The 22,073-nt window shown below is 39.2% G+C and overlaps 1 pseudogene; it reads left to right on the plus strand.

Annotated features, from left to right (window-relative positions):
- OFD1P8Y (OFD1 pseudogene 8 Y-linked) overlaps positions 9,368–22,073 on the plus strand; it is a 33,474-nt pseudogene continuing 20,768 nt past the window's right edge.

The following is a 22,073-nucleotide window of genomic DNA, read 5'->3' on the forward strand; positions in this document are numbered from 1 at the left end:
GAAAATTTACCCTTCGGTTTCTAAATCCTTTACTCCCTTTTCCTTAACACTACTGACCCTCCTTCCGCATAATTATAGCATCATTGTCAGAGTTCTAGTTTTCTGTTAATACCCTATTTGGTCTACAGGTGATGTTCAACTGCACCTCTCTGTTTACCACCAAACTATGAAAGCGGAAGACAGGAGCTTTCCAGTGAAAACTTCTTAAGGAAACTTAGAGGGTGAACTGTCCTTTCAAATAATGTCTGCTAAGGATAAGTCTCTGGGTTAGCCTGATCTATTTTGTACTCTCATTCACCTGTAGCGTTATTCATACAATTCTCTGAGCCTGGAAGCCTGGAATGAATGCTTTTGTTCATTCTTTCTCTCTCCTTTCTTGCTTTTCTCTCTCCCTCTCTCTCTCTCCCTCCCTCCTTCCCTCTCCCCTCATCTCTCTCATCTGTCTCCACCCACCCCATTCTCCAAGGCCCACCTCGTATGCCATCAATCTTTCTCATTATCTTCCACAAATTGAATGTGATAATTCTTGCCTCTGAACCAATGCTACTAAGTAAACTTATCTTTTAATTCAAACCTATACAAGTTGTCTTACTCCCTTATCTGACAATAAAATGCTTTATGGTTTTGCCTCACATATGAAAGTGTTCAATATCATTAAGAAAAATAATGTACAGATACACATCTGAGGAGGTATTGGCATATACAATTGATATAGGCATAGAAGTCTCGAAAATGGGTTTATATCACAGAACAAGAACTACCCATTTGTATTAAAGTACAACCTACTTGCCTAATTGTAGCATGTAGCTGAGAACAACCTCCAACGATGTGAATAGTTTGCACTGGGGCCCTTCAGAAATTGATTACCCTTCCAAAATGCATCCAGCTTTGACTTTAATGACAAGTTCAATTATTTTTTCTCTAAATTCATTGATGGCAATGTGTGTTATTGCCACCTTCTAATTGTAGCTTTCTGCCTCTTTGAATATGTCCCATGGCATAAGTTATGTGCATTTCAGCAATAGAAGCAAAAAACACTTGTGCCCAAATGACATTTGGGACTGACTTCACAATCTGCTCCAGGATTTACTCTAGGTGTTGTTTCCCTAATGTAGATCTTCCAAACTGAACCGCTTCAATCTTTTTTAGTACATAGTGCTGGAGTTGTAAATAACTGCTCAAAAGTCAACTGTGGTATGATCGAGACCCTAAGCAAGAAATTATGTGTAAAGAAAAGATTTCTTCTCTTTCCTAGGCCTGTTAATTCATCAGCAAAAGTAAGCAATTATAAAATAGGAGGGTTTTCCAAGTCTTACTGTGCAGAATCACCTGGGAAGTTTTTATTTGTATAAAAAGCACAGTTTTTTATCCTCATCCCAGTCCTATAGAATGAAAATTTCCAGGGATCGTTCTAATATATCTAGTCCATTGATCCCTGTTGAGATACAATAGGTTATACGGTCTCTAAGGTCTCAGGCATCACTAGACTTTTATAATCCATGAATATTTATGAAATCCAAATGATAATAAGAAAATGCTTTTTCATCCATCTAGACGCATCAGGCAAGGCAAAGAATGCTCAACTGAGTATCAGGAGACTTGGAATAAATCGTGGCTTTTTCATGACTTTGTAATCTCAGAAAAGTCCTTTCCTCTTAGGGCTTCAGTTTTCTCATGTATAAAATAAAATAATTGGATCAAAGCATAATCTAATCTGTGATGCCTTGTGAGTTGTGCCTGCAGAAGTTCAAATAAGATAGATGAGGATAAGGCTAACACAAAGACTTGTGCCACCAGGGGAAAGGCTGTTGACTATCTCACACGGGTATATTCATTATCATGATGCCAAGGCCTCAGATCTCTGCAGCCTTTTTGACTCAGTTATCTAAGTTATCAGCACTCAGAGAGTGGGTAGATTCACATTGTGCTGGCTCACAAGACTGATCAGAAATACAAATAATTAGTTTGCAGTGAAAAACAGGACTATGATAATAACTGTAGGCACTGTAGATGAGGCATCTTTTTTTCTATGGACTTTATGTAAAAGATACAGCATGGAAAGCTACCTGTAATGAAAAGGCCAGGAACTTATTTATAATGAAAAAAAAACATAACTGAAAGAGAAATAGGCAATATATTACTTTGGTGAGAGCAGTCTCTTTTTGAAAGTAAGATCTACCTAGAAAGACCCATAACCGACAGTATTCTTTTGGTGAGCCTAGAGCCATAGCAAAGGGAGTTAGGGGAATTAGCAAAAAAATTTGAATACATCTCTTACTGTTTTGATTTCAACTCCCTTTACCCTTTCCCAAATTCACTCAGAAACTTCCACGAACCTAGACTTGCAGGAAGTATTCAATAAGGATCTGCCTTTCAGAAGCTGAAAAAGACAAATAGGGCAGCAATGAGGTAGGGTAAAGTAGTAATGAGAAATAAGTTTAAGGACAAATCGTGGAGAACTCCAAATTCCATAACAATGAGTATAAACAGAATTCATAGGTATGAAGAGTGATAGAACCTCAAATTTCAGTTAAGTGACATGTCTGACATAGAATTGAATTGGAGTTAATTGGTGATATCTTGAAAAGTTAGAATGAATATTGAACACTATCCAATATGTGGCTAGTGATTAGAGGATTCAAGTGTATTCATGTGATATTCCAACAAAGTCTTGTAGCAACATATAGTATTTTAAAAGGGAGAGATGTTGGGAGTGAGTATAATTCAAAGAGGCATCTCAATTTCAAGTTAAGCAAAATATTAACATACATGTTAACTTAGTGAACTCCCACTGGACAGAAAAAGACATAATTTGAGCAATAATAACTTCAATCGTCAAAAACACATCACAAGTATAAAAGTAAATAAATTCAGAATGATAAAAACTTATTAGATATCATTGGAAGTTGCTAAGACATCAACCCATTTTTCTGAAAACAGATGAAGGGGAAATTTTAAAGCATTCATCGTCACTTTCCAGATGAAGGGCATTTTAAGATAAGCTAATAATTATGGAGAGAAAGTTATTCTTTGTTGAATTGATAGATTCAAAAGGAATGATAGAAGAAGAAAATCTCCATTTTGCATCCCCTAAAAGCATAATGTACCTTGACAACAATAATCAATTAATTCTAAAAACCTTAGTTGAATTGTTGGTGAGAAATTTGATGATGGAAGGGTCAGGTTGACATCATCTGAACCCACAGTGACAGTTTCCATTACTGGAAGTAGGACAATCAGACATTATATGCCTCCAAGGCAGTGTAATGGAAAGTATACACCACCACTCACTAAATATTATTACCTAAAATTGGAACAAAATACAATTAAGGCTCTGGGGCTACACACAATTTTAAGGGAAATACCAGAAAAAGAGGAGTATATTAAATGAAGTCATAAGGAACCAATCTGTGATATTCAGAATGTGGGATGGTCTATAGGACAAACAGTCCGGTTTCTCTCTCAATCAATTGCATGATCTGAGGGATTTTTGAGTATAGATGATATTAGATGGTGTTAAAGAATTTAATTAATTTTCTTAGCATAATAGGTTAATGTTATTAAGTATGCCAGTGACATGGTGATATGTAAAATCTATTTAAAATATTATTGTCAGAGATGTGTATTTAAGTATTTTCTGGTAAAATAACATAATGCTGTAATATTTTATAAACCCCTCTCAAATAAAATTAAAAAGAGTAGTTGGGCGATAGAAGTCTCAATATTCCAAAGTAATGATGGTTGTTGACTGTACGTGATGGATACATCGCAACTAATTACTGTTCTCTTTACTTTCATATGGAATTCAAAAATTTGCATAATAAAATGCTTTTTAAAATTACTGAATATGAATTGATCTGACTAGAGCAGAATTGGTGGACAACACCTGTCCAAGAGGTACTGCAGAGTAGCAAATCAGGGATGCCCCTTCTAAAAGTTGTAATGCTATGCAGAACTTCCTCTAACATAGCACTTATCACTCTGTATAATACTTACCTACTTAAATGCCAGTTTCCATATATTGTGTGCTGCTTATTCTTTAGTTTTTGCTACAGATTGATTCTCTATCTGTTTCCATGTTGTACTATTTTCCATAAATCTGGCTTGCTTGGGCTTCTTTACCCTCTGGCTTCCAACTAGATTTGGCCAAAGGAAAATACTGGCTAGATATCTGCTATAGATTGATTCTCTATCTCGTTCCATATTGTAGTGTTTTCCATGAAGCTGGCCTGCTTGGGTTTCTTTACCCTCTGGATTCCAACTAGATTTGGCCAAAGGAAACTACTGGCAAGATATCTGAGGGTGGAAGGAGAGAATGAAGTACTAATTCCTTTGTTTCCTTCCCTTATAGGCTGCAAGTTGTCTGGGCTGATTTGTCTATCTGTTAATAGCTCCTGTGGTCAAAACTTTCATACAGATAGAACTTTCACTGTGGGTTCCAGAAAGGATTTCCTCCCCTTGACCCTTTAGGCCTAGGAGTAGTAGTAACTTTTCAGTATGCCATCTGTTATTTGCTAAGACCCTGACTGATAAAGACTATAAGCTTCATTAAAGCTTACAAATTGTCTCACTGTCTTTTGTTCATTGTGATACCTACAATATATGACTGCCTGTCATCTAGGAGACAAAAAATTAATATTAGCTAAAGGAAAAGAAAAATAGAAGGATATGAATAAAATCCCACATTAATTTCCAATTTTAAAAAAAGTAACGGAGAAATAGAAAATACATGCTTATTGTGTTCTTTTAAAAAGAGTCCATTCATTAGTCAGTTTCATGTACAATGAATTGGCCATGCAGACGGCCAGTGCTGAAGAGAAATGTTTGAAATATCTGCTCCTGTAACTACCAAACCTTTAAATTTATTTTCCTGAATACTTATTTCACAGGTAGAACAATTATCAGTAATTTGATTTACCCAATAAGCTGCTTTGCCTTGTTTATTTGTGCTTCCAAATCCTCCTCTTCATTTAATTTCACTTTTTCCCATTCCCAAATACAGCACAATCAGGAGCTGTGCTATACACTCTCCTGGCTCTGCTTTCCAGCGAACAGAAGTAGATATAACAATTTGAATTTCCCCATTGTAGTCTGAATCAATGACTCCTGTATGTATTTGTACCTCTTTTAAACTTAAACTAGACCTTCCTAAAAGTGATCCTATTGTTCCCACTGGCAAGGGTCCACAGACTCCTGTTGGGACCTTATGTGGGTGTTCCCCAGGCGGAAGGCTCACAGCTTTTGTGCAGCATAAATCTACTGCCACACTACTGGCTGTGGCAGGGGACAGATATTGTACAGAGGTGAAGGAATGGCCTGAGCTGGAAATGCCCCAGTCTGGAGTGGGGGCCGGGATGGGCTGGCACCTCATGGCATTTCCTGAAATTGGGTTCCCATCTTTATCAAACTTAGAGTGACACTGACTAGCTCAATGTTTTCCTTTTTTACATTTTGGACACATTTCAGACTCAGCAGTTACTTTTTCCTGCTATCTGGCAGCCTGACTCACTGATTTTTTCTACATTCTTTTTTAGTATGAATAGCTTGTTTAAATTCTTGAGTAATTTAAAAGGAAAAGCCTCAAATATTTCCCTGCTGATCTGGGGGTTGTATTCTAACAGAGTACTGCCAAGCCTCTAAATCACCCTCTCTTCTAGCTTGCTGAATTACTGCCTGTATAGAACTGAGAGCACTCAAGGCGCTGCTTGAACACTCACTGGGGCAAAAAGTTTTCACCCAGGGTCCTCTGGAAAAGAAAGATCTGGAGGGCCTTTTTCTTCAGTATAATAATGAGGGGGTGCAGAAGGGTAGGGATGAACCTCTCCCTCCTTTGCCGCTTTAGCTTTAGTTGGCAAATAAACCTGCTCTGAAACCTCCTGTGTTACTTCGTTATACTCTCCTTCCTCCCCATCATCAGTGTGAAAAAGTTCCAAGGTGGAACTAACCACAGCCCGCACTTGTCCCATTGTTACCCTGATGCTTCTGAACTCCCCTTCTTACTCACCAAGGGGATTGCTTTAAGAGTACTTGGGTGTCCTCCAGCTGGTTCCACATTCTCCAACCATCACTCCAGTGATCCTTTGACCTGGATTCAACCCCTTGCGTATGGGTGCCCCTTGCCGAGACCAGCTCAGCTGGGGAAACCCTAACCCAGCAGTGCTAGAGGAATTAAACCACACACACACACACACACACACACACACACACACACACACACACAAATATAGAAGTGTAAAGTGGGAAATCAGGGGTCTCACAGCCTTCAGAGCTGACGGCCCTGAACAGAGATTTGCCCACTTATTTACTAACAGCAAGCCAGTCATTAGAATTGTTTCTATAGATATTCGATTAATTGAAAGTATCCCTTATGGGAAATGAAGGGATGAGCCAAAATAAAGGGATGGGTTTGGCTATTTATCTGCAGCAGGGGCATGTCCTTAAGGCACAGATTGCTCATGCTATTGTTTGTGGTTTAAGAATGCCATTAAGCAGTTTTCCACCAAGGGCGGGCCAGGTGTTTTTTGCCCTCATTCTGGTAAACCCACAACCTTCCAGTGTGGGTGTTATGGCCATCATGAACATGTCACAGTGCTGCAGAGATTTTATTTATGGCCAGTTTGGGGCCAGTTTATGGCCAGATTTTGGGGGACTGTTCCCAACAGGTGGTATTTACAAATATTTTACTGTGTACCTATTTCCTGCAGCTATTAGTAGGTTGGCTCAAGATCCAGGAATGAGATGATACAATTGAGGTAACAAGGCCCCAGAAGAGCAATAGGAACTGGGGTCAACATTGCAAAGAAAAAGGAGAATGGGCCTTGAAACGTAAACACATTTGCTTCCTCTGGGACAAGTAGAAAAGGAAGAATGTCAGAGGTAAACAGTCAAGTTGGGATAATGAGAAGCACACTCTAAATAAGCTCCATCTTCTCAGGCAGATTAGAGGGTTAGATCATGGGTTTTAGGAGCAGCTCAGAGGTACAGAGCAGCTCAAGTGTGTAACGGAAGAACAGCTCTTTAAGGCACAGAGGACTGATCACCTGTATTGAGGGCCCAGCTGTAGTTGGGGGAGCCTGAAATTAAGTAAGCCCAAACCATGTGCTTGGAGGGGAGTTTATTTTTTATTTTTATTTTTACTTTTGGTAGGTCCGTGGAGGAATTCTAAGCATCCATCTCTTCTTCACCTTTCAGTGAGGGTGGAAAGATGAAGATGTTTAAGGATTGGAGGTTTGCAGAGCCTACCTTATTTGATGTGAGAATGGCAGCCTATTTAACTGAAGATTCTGGGCTTATCTTGCATAGTGAAGGGAAGCAGAGGAGGGGCAAGTGGCAGCTAACCCAGGGGGAAAGGGAGGGTGGATTAGCGGTCTCAGGGATCAAGGACTAGATCTGGAGAGACTGGCAGGTGGAATTATAACAATTGTCCAAGAGTACAGAATTGCAGGATTAGGTTTCAGGTGGATACTGGAAAGCAAATGCACTGTGCTGCCATTGGATGGAGTCATGGAAATGAACAAAGTTCAAGGTCCCTGGGGTGAAGGAGTCACCAGGGCTGCAAAGGTCATCCATGTGGCCATTTGATCTGGTCATCTGGGAAGTAACTGGACAAGAGAAAGTGAGGATGAGGAGTGGCAGGGAGTCTATTTCAGCAAGTGGGATTGAATCTATTTTTTAAGAAATCATATTCTGTTTCTAAGTGTATGTCTTAGACCACACTGGATTTACAGCAGTATTTTTGGCCTACATCGTGAACTGCTGCTGCCAGATGTTAAAAGTAGCAAGGCTTTACCCTAGCATTAAGTCTTGCTTGGGGCTTCTCAATGAGACCTACTTGTTTAATGTTAAGTGCACACCCTTTACAATTTTATATAGCATTGATAGGAATTGGGCTTGCTCCAGCTATAAAAATGAGTGTTGGAAGCACAGTTTTTTGAGATGTTTGGATTGTGTTTAGACTAATAACTTCATCTGCAAGATACGGGACTGGCTAGATTCCTGTTTATTTAACTGTGAGTTTCTGAAGGCTTTGAGGAAGATTGTCATCCTCACACAAACCGCCATGGCTGTATTTCCTCACCTGGAATGTCAATCCTTTTCTCTTCCTGATAAAACCATACTGTCTTTCAAGACACAGCTGGACTGTCACCCTGGTGATATCTTCCCTGACTCCCACTGAGCAAATGATTTAGGTCTCGTTCCTGCATGCAGTCTTTATTTACCTCAGTTATGAAGTTATACCTTATTGTGATTATTTCTCCCTGATTAAATTGTGAGGTCTTTAGAGACAGTGACTATATCTGTCTACATTTGTATAACTTGTTCCCAGTATGCTGCTTGATATGTGTTAAGTAGTAAATTCTTGCTCTGTGAAAACATAAATGGAAGGATGGCCCATTCATTTAGGAGTTCATAAGAGCTTGCTAACTCTGAGTCAGAATGACCCATGAACTGAAACATACAGAGAGCACCATCACTAAAAACTGTGGGATTATATTCTTTTGCAGTTTTATTGCTGAATGCACATTTTGTTCAATGGTTCTTCCTGAAGAACTCATCAATTTTTAGTTAACGGGACCAGGTGTGGTGGCTTATGCCTGCAGTCCCAGCATTTTGAGAGGCTGAGGTGGGCATGTCATTTGAACCCAGAGGTTCAAGAGCAGTCTGCGCAGCTTGACAAAGCCCATCTCTATAAAAAACACAAAAAATTAGCCGGACTTGGTGGTGTGTGCTTGTAGTCCCAGCTACTCGGGGGGCTGAGGTAGGAGGATCCCTTGAGGCCAGGAGGCAGAGGTTGTAGTGGGTCAAGACCACGCCAGTGCACTACAGCCTAGGCAATAGGGCAGGAACCTGTCAAAAAATCTTTTTTAGATAAAGGACTGGGGATTTTAAAGCACTAAGTAGCATATATTACATAAGGGATGTTAGGAACATATGAAAATACAGGTAAATAGTAATTAGGAGAGTCAATTTGTATGCAGCTAGAATATCTAGTTGTATAAGTTTGAAACTTTGCTTTCCAATAGGTTGAAAAAATTCAAACTCAAGTCTGGAATTTTTTTTTTTTTTTAGATGGAGTCTCACTCTGTCACCATGGCTGGAGTTCCATGGTAATTATCAGGTCACCACAACCACCTTTGTCTCCCAGGTTCAGGTGATTCCCTTGCCTCAGCCTCCTGAGTAGCAGAAACTACAGGTTCCCGCCATGATGCCTGGCTAATTTTTGCATTTTGTTAGAGATGTGGTTTTACAATGCTACACAGGCTGGCCTTGAACTCCTGACCTCAGGTGATCCTACCACATTGGCCTCCCAAAGTGCTAAGATAACAGTTGTGAGCCACAGTAACCAGCCAAGTTGGAGTCTCTTGAAGGTGAAATTGTTGCTTTGTGGAATTTAGAAAACAGTATATTCATTTACATCAGTTTGGCTTTCATCAGTTTTCTTGCGAAAAATTAATAATTTTCTATGTAGATTGACATAAAAGAAATTTATGGCCAAAGGCAACTTTAAGTAAAAGCCATGGATTTGCTAAGAGGAAGAGAAGTAGTGCTGAAGCACTGGGTTGAAGCTTTTGAATTTTAAGTATGCATGTTTATTTTTGAAACTCAGAATTATGAGAGTAAAAAAATTACTATATATATGCATATATAGTATATATGTATACACAGTAACCGTGATATATATATATATATATATATAATCACAATATTCTAATGTTTATTGCCAAGTAGAGTTCTTCTTTATAAAGGTGATATCACCTATAATTAGAAAATACAAATTAAGAGGAAAAAACACTAGGGTTTTGCTTTTGACATATTAAATATTAAGATGAAAAAGAGACTGAGATGCTATCACCAGCTTACAGTAAGACCAGACAGAAAATTTTGAGAGGCCACCAATACTTGAACAGATCATACATTTTGCAGTTAATTTCAATCCTTCAGTTCTGATAGTTTTGTTTGTTTATGTCCAGTAACTGAGTTCCATATGTCCAGAACTGAGTTCTACACCTGCAGCTTTTACCAGCTCTATGCTCAACAAAGAAAGTATGGTAGTCTGACTTTATTTGCATTGGGTGAAATTATTTCTTTTGTGTTATTCACCTTTTTTAAGTGCTCACAAATATTTCATTCTTCAGATCTTACCTGGGATTGACTGAAAGCTCATCTGTCTGTAGTTTGTGCAATAAGCCTTATTTTCAACTGGGAATGTTTTGTTAATTGACAAAAATAGATATGCCAGGAATCTTCGTTCATTAAAAAATGTGCCTCCATATTCTTTAATATTGTTTTCTCCCTTCTTTAGATTTGAATTGTTTGATTCTAACCTCTGCCTACCTTACTCTTCTTTTGGCAATAATGAAAAAGTAAGTTAATCAAGAGAGACAGAAAAAAAAATAAGGAGCAACATTTTGGCAGAGAGTTTATCACTTCCCTACCTCAATTTCCTCTACTGCTATTTCCTCTTTCTCAGGATACATACAAAATAAATGTAGTTTTTACCTCTCTATGGCCTTCCAGATTGCCAGCAGAGGGAGGTAATACCTAGAGCCTTTAACTTTCCTTAGAGTAGTCAGTGCTCATAGAGTGGCCCTGTTACTATGTAAGGGAACTTCCCCAACATTTGTGGGCATGCTGCATAAGTCACCCTTTATTAAAGGACTCTTAGATGACTTTGTCTGTAGGAGCCATCTGCTTTCTGCCTGGATCCCAACTGCTGCTGACAGATGCACAGATTATTTTGGATGTTGGGGATGTCATCAACAGGTAGACCAGACAGAGAGCTCCTTCTGTTCATGGTATAGGAGAGAAACAGCTATTTAGGTTAATCTGAGGATTTGAAAGAGTTCTTTTACTTGGAGTAGGACTCCAAGAGTAATAACGTTTGCAATAAAATGCACTAAATACTTTTGTTCTGAAATTTGAGTGTTAGGACTACTCTGAGATCATTAAATAGAATTAATATTATATTTATTGCATGAGTACCAAGAAAAGAAACAACAATGTAAAAGCTGTTTAAATGTTTCTGTTAAATGAAATAAGAAAACTTAAGGTAGATAATGACTAGGATTTCTTTTGGCCTTCTTATATCTGGCTCCACTGGCTCATGAAATTGTGGTATTTCAGAAAGAACTGCAGAAAGCAGGAAATGCTATCATAGCTGAGCATGAGGAGTTCAAAAATCACAGGCCAGCTCTGCAGTACAACTGCAAGATGCAGTGAGTCTTGCTCCTTGCCAGTTCCACTTTGATACAAATACACTTCTTCAGTATGTAAACTTGGCCCAAGTCACACCTGTGCAAATCAGATTTATTTTAATATCAAACATTACTCCCCCAAATATAGTAAAGTTTCTCTTTGTCATCTGAGAAAATTCTCTAGTGATAATATGATCTTATATTCATAATAGCAATAACATGGAGAAGAAAGCAAACACACCTAAATGTAAAATTTTCAGAGTGCCAGATTTTTTCCACTGTTATCTCTGGATTCTCACCCTAAGGATTACAAACATTCACCGTGTCTTCTGCCCACATGCCCTAGAATGTTTTGATATGACTGAAAAAGATGGTGAAATCTGTTAAACCCACCTAGTTTGTGTTCTGTTTGTCATTTTTAAAATAGGGACCCTGTTGTTTACTGGCATAAATATTCTCAATTAAAAGAGTACAAACAGGATAAGAAAACGTCTCCTTGTGAAGCAAGCCGTGATTTGTTTTGCAATAATTTCTTTTCTGATTCTGAATCTTTTCAGAATGAGCATTCTGGGTGGCTGAAGGCCCAGATACTAGATTACAAACTTCCGTAAAAAGTTAAGTATTCAGGTGACCGATTTTGTATTGCAACTGAAGCAAACTCAGACAGGTTAGAGACATTTTAAATCTATGAATATTTTTCTGTGTGTAAAGCTTCTGATGCTTGTGAAAATGTAATGACCCTAATTTATTGAATATTAAGTAATTGTTATGTTAGAGGAAAAGCCACAGAAACATGTGTCATCTTAGAAGTAAAACTCCCTATCCACTTTGGTAATACCATCTGGATCATCAGCAAAAGTCACTTGTTTCATAGGTGCCTCATGGCTTGGGAGAGCCTTGTGTCTCAAATGGGAAAGGCGTGGTGGTGACATAGAAGTCTCCAGGTTTATCTTAGAAATTTCTTTTCTATTTGTTACCTCAATGTTAACAGCAGTTCAGTAATTTTATGGATTCCTTGATAGATATATGCACACACGGGAGGAGCAAGGCGGTTTAGCAAAGAGAACATTGCTCTCAGAATCAGACAACTGTTCTTTTGGATCCCTGTTTTGAAGTTAGTTGTTTAATCTTGGACATGTTACCTTAACTTCATTGGGCCTCAGTTTCCTCATTTTTAATGGGGAAAATAATGCCTATTGAGCCATGATGAAAGTGATGAAAGGAGATGGGTTACAACGCAGTGCCTGGGACATAAGAAAACACTCAATAAGTGGTGATTGGTATGATTGGTATGATTTTATTATTGTGTGTTCACTGTGGATACATCTGTGCCCCTTCCTACTTCATAATAAGGATATTGAAGCTTAGATGCTTTCTTCTTCAGTTGCTTTCAAGCTCAAAGAAAGTGTGTTTGTGTTACCAGTTAACTGGTTTCTCAAACTTGTTCTGAGCCTTCCTCGTTCCCCTTTGCACTTTTTCCTCATAAGTTCCTTGCTCTCTTCTACCAGCACTTGACTTATTTTTAACTCTTTACACATTTCTTCTCCTTTCTGGTCTCATTTTCCTTTCAGTTCTGTTTGTGAAACTTCTCACAGCTGAAACCATAGTCTCATGTTAATAAAAATAGTTGAATGGGAATAGAACTTTTGCACTTGCATGCAATGAGGAGGGCAAGCTTCTTTCTCACAGCTTCATTGGAAGGCATTTCAGGACAGTGAGACACAGGCACTGGCTTTGCCTTAGGAAAGTGCAGTAGCTCTTGAACCTGCTAACGGTGTGACCCAGGGTCAATAAGCTTTAGTCTCCCATCTATAAAACGGAAGCTGTGAGAATTCCTTGACCACAGTGTTTTTGTGAATGCAGGTTCTTACTTTTTGTCTGAAACTCATGCCGTATGCTGTGGATTTCACAGCACACGAAATCCACAGCATGTGAATTCTGTAGGACCTGCTGTAGTGAAATGCATTAGTTATTTTCCAGTCAACTGTATGAATATTCATGCCGGGGCAAATAAAGATAATAAATGGGTTCACGTCATTTCAGGTCATAGTATTTAACCAAATGAGTTCATGTCTGGCTAGGCTATGCCCCTAAGTTATGAATAAATTTTCAATTTTCAGAGCTGTGGGGATGTGGAAATTGTGCATAATGGATTCTGAAGTTGTACCGTGTTACAAAAGACACATGAAGCTGTAGCTGGTACAATAAGCCCTCAATAAATATTAGTGGTTATCACTACCATGGCATCAGAAACTGTTTAATGTGGAAGTTTGTCCTTATTATTGCTCTCTTCAACTTTTCAAAACAGTAATATTCTCAATTACATGAATTTTCTTCTCTTCTGTGTCCACTCACTTTTGAAATTAGCATTTTGTACTCTGCAGCCCTAGAGAATAAAGTGTACTGTAATCCAAAGCAGCATCTGATCCATCATTCTGTCAGTGGATTAATAAGTGGCAATATGGTGCCTTGCAATGGTGCTATACATCAGGATTTCTTGAACGATTCTCTTAAACAGAAAAGAGGTATGGTAACATCAAGGATCCCAAATTTTCCAAATGGAGCTGTGGAGGGTAGTCCTTCCAATTCTGACCTTGAGTTTGTAGTTAATACTAAGCAAGGGTCAAAGAGCTTAAGCAAGAGGCAAAGAGCTTAAGTAAGAGGACAGACCCTTGGAAAAGGCTTTCAGAAGTTGCTATCTGAGAGTCGTTAACATCATACCAAAAGCCCACTACCAGCAAAGAGCTCACCATCTCTGCACTTGCTGAAAGCTTTCAAAAACATTACTTCCAGTTCTCTAGAAAGCCATATATTTGCAGAGGACAGAGTTGTCTCTGAGCAGCCTCAAGTGAAAAAACTTAAAGATTAAAGGAATGGCACCTGGAAGCACTCATGGGCAGTGCAGTGTTGAGGCTACACAGTGGCATTTCCTCCAGACAAGTCTTCTCTACCCCTTTTCCGAAAGCAAAAAGGAACCTTAAAGTGAAATGTATCTGGAAGGTTAGCCACCTGGACAAAGCGTTGTGTGCTGCTCTGGAGTTGGGTAGCTACCCTCCATCTCTCCACCCATGATAGAGGGTTGCTGTGAGAGTCAGCAGGACAGACTGGCAAGGTCTAGTGTCTCCTTTACACACAGAGGTGTTTAGATACTAAGAGCTGTCTTTCCTTTGCTGCCTGTTACTTTCATGCATTTTATTATTGCCAGTGCAATTAACTTAGGTGTTTGAATCATTAGTTTTGTGGATCTTATGCATCATAATTTGCTATTTGCAAGGATAACAATTTATTTTTGAACTAATAGAGCTCTTTAGAAACCGCTTGGTATCTTCATGCACCTGGTAATATTCTTGCCTTGGTTCCTTCTGAACCTTAGGTCTGGACAGATTACATGTGGGTTCCCCAGTCCTTGTTCTGACAGAATGCCCCAGCAGTCACCCACTGAGTCAAGGCACAGCCTCTCCAACCCTCCAGACCAAAAGTTTCGGTAAGTACAACTTTCTGATTGATTAGCTTCAGCTGAATCACGTTACTTACTCTGTCAGCCTTCACTTATTTTGTTCGTTTTTTTTTTTTTTTAGGTTAATTTTGCAGACCATTTGGCAGTATAGAAGTTAGAATCAGATTGCAAAATGATGTGTGATATTTGAGAATCATCTAAATTATGAAGAGAAAAAAGGATGGCTTTTAGCAAATAAGTGGATAATGCATATTTGCTAAACTGGACATGTAGAACATGAGATATGGTATAAATAAGCATCTTCATAGTTCTGTCAATAGACTCAGTTTATTAAGATAAAAACAAATGTACAAAATATGTGAAAGCAAACAAATGGAGGTTATTTCTAAACTTGGAAAAATTATACACATCATTAAAAAGTCATTTAAAATATTTTGGCATTGAAATATAAACAGATACATTTTTGTTTTTTGTTTTTGTTTATGTTTTTGTTTTTTGGTGAGTGAGGGCAGAGTCTTACTCTGTCACCCAGACTGGAGTGCAGAGACATGATCTCCACTCATTGCAACCTCTGCCTCCTGAGTTCAAGTGTTTCTCCTGCCTCAGCCTCCCAGGTAGCCTGGATGACTGGAGTAGGCCACAACACTCGGCTAATTTTTGTATATTTAGTAGAAATGGTACTACACTATGTTGGCCAGGCTAGTCTCAAGCTCCTGACCTCAGTTAATCTGCCCAGCTCTGCCTCCAAAAGTGCTGAGATGACAGGTGTAAGCCACAGTGCCAGGCCTAGATAAAATTCTCATTTCCATAACATTGCAATAAATTCAAATGTGGCAGTGGACTCTAGAGCGTGATTCTTGAAACACTAAGGAGTGGGTGTTTTTAGGAACTGGACTAGTGGGTTACCAAGGCTGTGATTTGAGTCATGAGGAGACTTCTACCCATACATGGGCCCCACAGCAGAGAGAACTGGCTCCACAATTCCAGGCTCAAGCTTCAGTGTCTGCACTGAAAAGAAAAGAAAAATAAATATCTATAACGTCTCTTCTTCTCTGAAACATTAATTATGACTATGTTTCCCAATGCTTGTATTTAGTAAGATTTGAAGCTTACTGTTTTTTTTTTGTCTTTTCAATGCAGCTACAAGGCTACAAGCTATGCAAGGCTAAAGTTATGCTAACTCAACAGTTATGCTATAAATTATGTAACCTGTCATTGTCAAATTAGCTTCTGTAGTTCTGCTTTTGTAATTTGGCTTACAAATATCCCCCTCAGTCTTTGTTCAATGCTCAGCATTTTTGGATATAAGTCTGCTGAGCCAGGGCACCTAAATACATCCTCCTATTTCCCCATATGAATCTCTGTGGTCCTCTGCTTCCCACAGCATTATTGGCCAGTCAGCCAGGAGTGGAGATGACAGGTTTCCTGTCTCCTTTGCCCCTGGGGCTTAAGCCCTGGGTCTCAGGAGTCCTGTGACCCAAGGAGCACCACTGGGAGAACTTCAGCCTGGAGGGGAGATCAGCCATTTTGTGACCTCGTGCCCCTACCAAGCAGTGCAATGGTACCTAATGGGTTATAGGACGATTCCAGGAACAGCTCACTTCAGAAACCACAGTAAGGTATTGGGACCCAAGGCAGGACACATCCCACAAGGACCAAAAGGGAGCCTAATCACCTCCTAGGTTATAACCGGTAATCCAACCCAGAGGTGCTGCAGGCCGCAAGAGTGGTTCACCAATTCAGAAGAAACTTATACCTCAACCAACACAGCATGTGACAGTGGCTCACTAAATCAGCTCAGAAGGAAACTGGAGGTGGTGAAAGTGACTCGCCACCCCAACCAGGAACATGAGAACTGGTAGAAGGATGATGTGTGAGTGGTGAGGCCTAACTAGGCTAATCGGCCATAAAGTGAGGAACCACAAGTCTCTTAGTGAAGAATGTGTTCCAAGCCAAGTGTGGGGCTGATCAAGACTAGTGGTGATCCACATATGGCTAAAAGAAGCTACCCCACAACTTCAGCAATTGTGTTGGGCTTAAGAAACTCTCCAAAGCTAAGTAGTATCTAAAAACCCCCATAATAGGAGATGGTCTAACTGGCTGGAAACAAAGGTAAAAAGTGAGCACGAGTACACTGCATCATAACTGAAAAGAAATGGGAAGAGAGTTGTCACAACATACATCATTCAAATATATGCTAAAAAAAACTTTAAGAAAGGGTTTACAGGAAACTATAAAATTAAGCTAACCCTGCAAAGGTAAAAAGCTCTCTGTAAACTAAAATGGCCCCCTTTTGGTATTAAATAGGTGACCCAAAAAACTATACACATAGAAAGAATTGGTCATGAGTTTGAGGTAATGACAGGGGTCTGAGTATAGCCAGGGTACCCAGACCAATTTTCTTATATTAACTCATAATTAAATATAATACAAACAAGAACAACATGAATCCAGCCCTGCTTCACAGCTTATTGCAAAACACTTGTAGCGCAGGCCGAGCCAAAAGTGAAAATAGAAGCAGCTTCACCAGCAAACACTGAGTTAAAAGGAAAGTCCCAAGGACAGAAAGGAAACCCAGTTTTAAAAAACTACAAAAGGAAAAAAAAATTCTCCTCCATTTTTCATAGCCTACCTCCCTTTGCTGAGGCAAACAGCCCCCCAGGAGCTAGGTTCCATTGCCAGTACACCCCAGGTTTCACCCCAGAGGGAAGAATTGGAGCCTTGAGAGGCCAGTGATGGAATTCAGGATAGTGAACCAGGCTGCCTCAAATCTGATCATGGTCAAGCTATGTAAATACCTCTCAGGGAAATGCAAGGACTCATCTGTTATAATGACCAGTGCCACATCCTGGTGTGGGGGGCAGCAAACCTTCCTCTATCAGCCCTTTTCAACCACTAATCTCCTAAATGTAAATCAACACACTAACTCCTACAAGGAAAAGCCCCAAGCTCTCATAAATCTAACACAGTCCACCTTTCTAACACACAATCCAACCTGGCTAAATTGAAGATAACTTATCTTAACATTGTTTAACATGGAGGAGTGCCAGAGGATAACTCAGGCATCCCATCAAGGGCTAGAAGCCAATGCACCAGCTGCAAAAAGTACATGGTTTTGCAGGCACGAATACAACCCAGCTTACAGAAATGGCCACCAAAATGTAGGTTAACCATCACCAGGAAGCAAAGAAAAAAAAAAAAGCAAATCAGAGGTTTAAAAAAGGCCAATCTCTTAGCAGCAGCTCTCATTAAAAAAATGACTAGCAATATACAAGAATGTGGATGTGCACGTGCGTGTGAAAGATGTCAATTTAGTCAAAAATTTAAAAGCCAGCCGAGGCTAGAGAGAAAACAATGTGTGTGATGGAAAAGAAAAATACTGAAAGAATAAATGTCCAGAAGGTAATAAAAAGTATAATCAAGACTGTGGTATAAAAGAGTCCAGCTAAGGGCTGCCTCACTGTGGGAAAACCAAATACGAATCTAAACAGGCTGGCCGGCACTAAAGGATATGGGTACTAGGACAGACCAGGCTTTTTCTTATTACAACTCCATTGGCCCATGGTCACATTAAAAGTTGAAGGCCAGCTGATGGACTTTATGTAAACACCAGGGCTACACATTCAGTACTGACTCAACCCATAGGGCCACTATCTGAAGCTATAAAACTATTATAAAAGCCACAGGAATCTCAGAGAAAAAAGCTGTTCTGGTAAGGAGGTGTGTCATCAAAGGATGGGAAGTTCAACATAAATTCCTATACCTCCTGAATTGTCCAGTTCCCTTGTTAAGAAAAAAAAAAATTACTCCAAAAACTGAAAGCACCAATTACATTTCAGCTGCAAAAAAAAAAAAAACAACAACTTTTTTTCTGACTCTCCAAAAAAGCATGGTGCTAACCCTTATCATCCTGCAGGCTAAGGAATGGAAACTTTATACAAAGAAAGTGCAAGCAGCAAATTAGAATTGCAGGTGGGATAAAAAAAAATTATTTCACTTAGTTAATAACATTTCTGGAGTATGGGTTAAAGGCAACCCACTTGGATTAGCTGTACATCATGCACAGGTGGTAGTCATGTTAAAACCAAAAGAAACTCCGACTTGGGTTCATCAGTACCCAGTCCCCTGAGAAGCTATTCCAGGTATCTGTAAATATTTAAACTGGCCTTACCAACATGAAGTCTTAGTTCGATGTCAATTGCTCTAAAACACTCCACTTTTGGAACATGTGTATTTTAATAAATCTCATTCCAGCAAGTGCTACCTGATTTGCAGTCCTAAATTTAAAGAATGTATTCTTTTATATCTGCTTAGCCCCAGTTAGTCACCCTATATTTGCATTTCAATAAAACAAATAAGTTGTTCAACTCACCTGGGCCAGGCTCCCGCAAGTTCAAAGACTCTCCTACAGTCTTTAGGGAAGCACTGACCTTGAAGCCTACAACCTGCCAAATGTTAACTGTGCCTTGTTGCAGTATGTGGATGACCTTCCTCTAGCAGCCCCAACCCAGGAGGACTGTTATCAAAAAACTCAAGACCTCCTCCATCTCCTATGAAAAACAGGCTAAAATTATCTTTTAAAAAAGGACCAATTATTCTTAAAAATGTCAAATATGTAGGTTTCATAGTAAGCCATGTGGAATGCCAGCTTGGCCATAAGCAGAAACAGGCCGTTTGTACACTCCTGACACAAACCACTAGGCATTACATTAAAAAATTCTTAAAAGAAGAAAAATTCCACCATATCTAAATCATAAATTTTTCACTGATGGCTAAGCCATTATATAATATTACAAAAGGGGTAAAAACGAAACCCTCCTCTGGCAAACTAAACAGCAAATATCATTTAAAAAAATCAAAAAAACCCTTAACTCAAGTCCCAGCCTTTGGTCTGCCAAATGTAACTTAGCCTTTCTTTCTGTACCTGCATAAATGAAAAGAAATGGCTATGTGGTTCTTAACTGAAATTATAAAATTATAGCATTGTCCAGTCAAATACTAATCTAAACAATTAGACTCTGTGGCACTAGGATGGCCTCCTTGCCTTAAGGCATTAGCCACCACTGCCTTGCTAATGCAAGAGGATAACACACTTACTTTGAGACAGCAGCTAACAGTCCATGTGCCACACTCAGTCAAAACTTTGATGAACAAATAAGCCATCATTAGTTGTCAAATCTGAGAATAACGCAGTACCAAGGACTTCTATATGAAAACCCTTACATTACTTAAAATACAGCAAACAACTTAAGCCCAACCACCCTGCTCCCAGTCAAATTTGATGCTCCCCTCCATAACTGTGTCTAAACAGTGGATCACGTATTTGCTGAACCAGGAGATCTTACAGATCAATCCCTCAAAAACCCAGATGTTGAATACTTCATAACTGAAAGAGTTTTGAGCTAGAAAAAAATCCAACAAGCCGAGTATGCAGTGGTAACATTAAACTCAATGATAGAAGCTCAATCTTTGCCTACTGGAACATGAGACCAAAAGGCAAAATTAATAGACCGAACAAGAGCCCTTTTGCTGCAAAAGAAAAAAAGGTCAATATTTAAACACATTCTAAATATGCTTTTACCACACTACATGTTCATAGAACTATATATAAAAAGAAAATTTCTTAACAACTGGAGGCAAATAAATAAAGTGGACAGAAAAAATCCTACAGCTCTTAGCAGCTGTATATGCTCCAGAAAAAGTGGCAATAGTGCATTATCTGGAACACCAAAAGGCAGGGAAGTCAAAAGCCAAAAGAAACAGGAAAGCTAACACTTTCCCCACATAACCTTGATATAAAAAAGCACCCAAAAAATGATGCCCACCCTCTACTCATACTACATAGCCCCAAAACAACATAGCCAGGCCCACTGCTACTCAGTTAATAGCTCTAACTAAATGTCAACCTGTGCCAAAAGAAGAAAACATGCTTTCCCATAAAGAATAAAATGATACTAATGCCTTCGATTAAATTTATCCTATAAAATGATTTTTTAAAAAAACAGAAAAATTTGGCAAGACAAGGGTTCAAATGAAAAGAAAACATGTTTTTCTCTGTGTAGCTATCTCACTCCAAGACAGTTATAAAATAACACTGTCTAAAAAGTTGAGGCCAAGGGAATGGGTCACAAATACCCTACACTGAAGCAAAGTTCAAAAGGAAAGCAAATTACTTTACTGTCTCTCCTTCTCTGAAGCATTAATTATGACTATGTTTACCAATGCTTGTATTTCGTAAAATCTGTATGTTCCTGTTTCTCTTTCAACCTAGCTGCAAAACCCAGCTATGCAAGGCAAGAAGTTATGCAAGTCAACAATTATGCTGTAAATTACATAACTGTTCATTGTATAATTAGTTGCTTTAGGTCTGCTTCTGTAAGTTTGCTCATAAAAACCCTGCTCAGTCTTTATTCAATACTCAGCCTTTTTGGATATAAGCTCACTGAGCTGGTGCACCTAAATAAATCCTCCTGTTTCCCCATATCAGCCTCACTCATACTCTGTTTCCATCAACACCAGTCATATTTCCAAAGTTTTTATCTTTTTTTGAGACAGAGTCTTGCTCTGTCACCCAGGCTGGGGTGCAGTCTCACCTTACCGCAGCCAGTGCCTCCTGGGATGAAGGAATTCTCCTGCCTCAGCCTCCTGAATAGCTGGGACTCCACACACACCACCATGCTTGACTAATTTTTGTATTTTTATTTATTTATTTTTTCTTTTTTTATTATACTTGAAGGTTTAGGGTACATGTGCACAATGTGCAGGTTAGTTACATATGTATACATGTGCCATGTTGGTGTGCTGCACTCATTAACTCATCATTTAACATTAGGTATATCTCCTAATGTTATCCCTCCCCTCTCTCCCCACCCAACAACAGGCCCCAGTGTGTGATGTTCCTCTTCCTGTGTCTGTGTATTCTCATTGGTCAATTCCCACCTGTGAGTGAGAACATGCGGTGTTTGGGTTTTTGTCCTTGCGATAGTTTGCTGAGAATGATGGTTTCCAGCTTCATGCATGGCCCTACAAAGGACATGAATTCAACATGTTTTATGGCTGCATAGTATTCCATGGTGTATATGTGCCACATTTTCTTGATCCAGTCTATCATTGTTGGACATTTGGGTTGGTTCCAAGTCTTTGCTATTGTGAATAGTGCCGCAATAAACATACGTGTACATGTGTCTTTATAGCAGCATGTTTTGTAATCTTTTGTGTGTATACCCAGTAATAGGGATGGCTGGGTCAAATGGTATTTCTAGTTCTAGATCCCTGAGGACTTGCCACACTGACATTCACAATGGTTGAACTAGTTCACAGTCCCACCAACAGTGTAAAAGTGTTCCTATTTCTCCATATCCTCTCCAGCACCTGTTGTTTCCTGACTTTTAATGATTGCCATTCTAGCAGGTGTGAGATGG

This window comes from Homo sapiens, chromosome Y (assembly GCF_000001405.40).
Source record: "Homo sapiens chromosome Y, GRCh38.p14 Primary Assembly".
Taxonomy (NCBI): domain Eukaryota; kingdom Metazoa; phylum Chordata; class Mammalia; order Primates; family Hominidae; genus Homo; species Homo sapiens.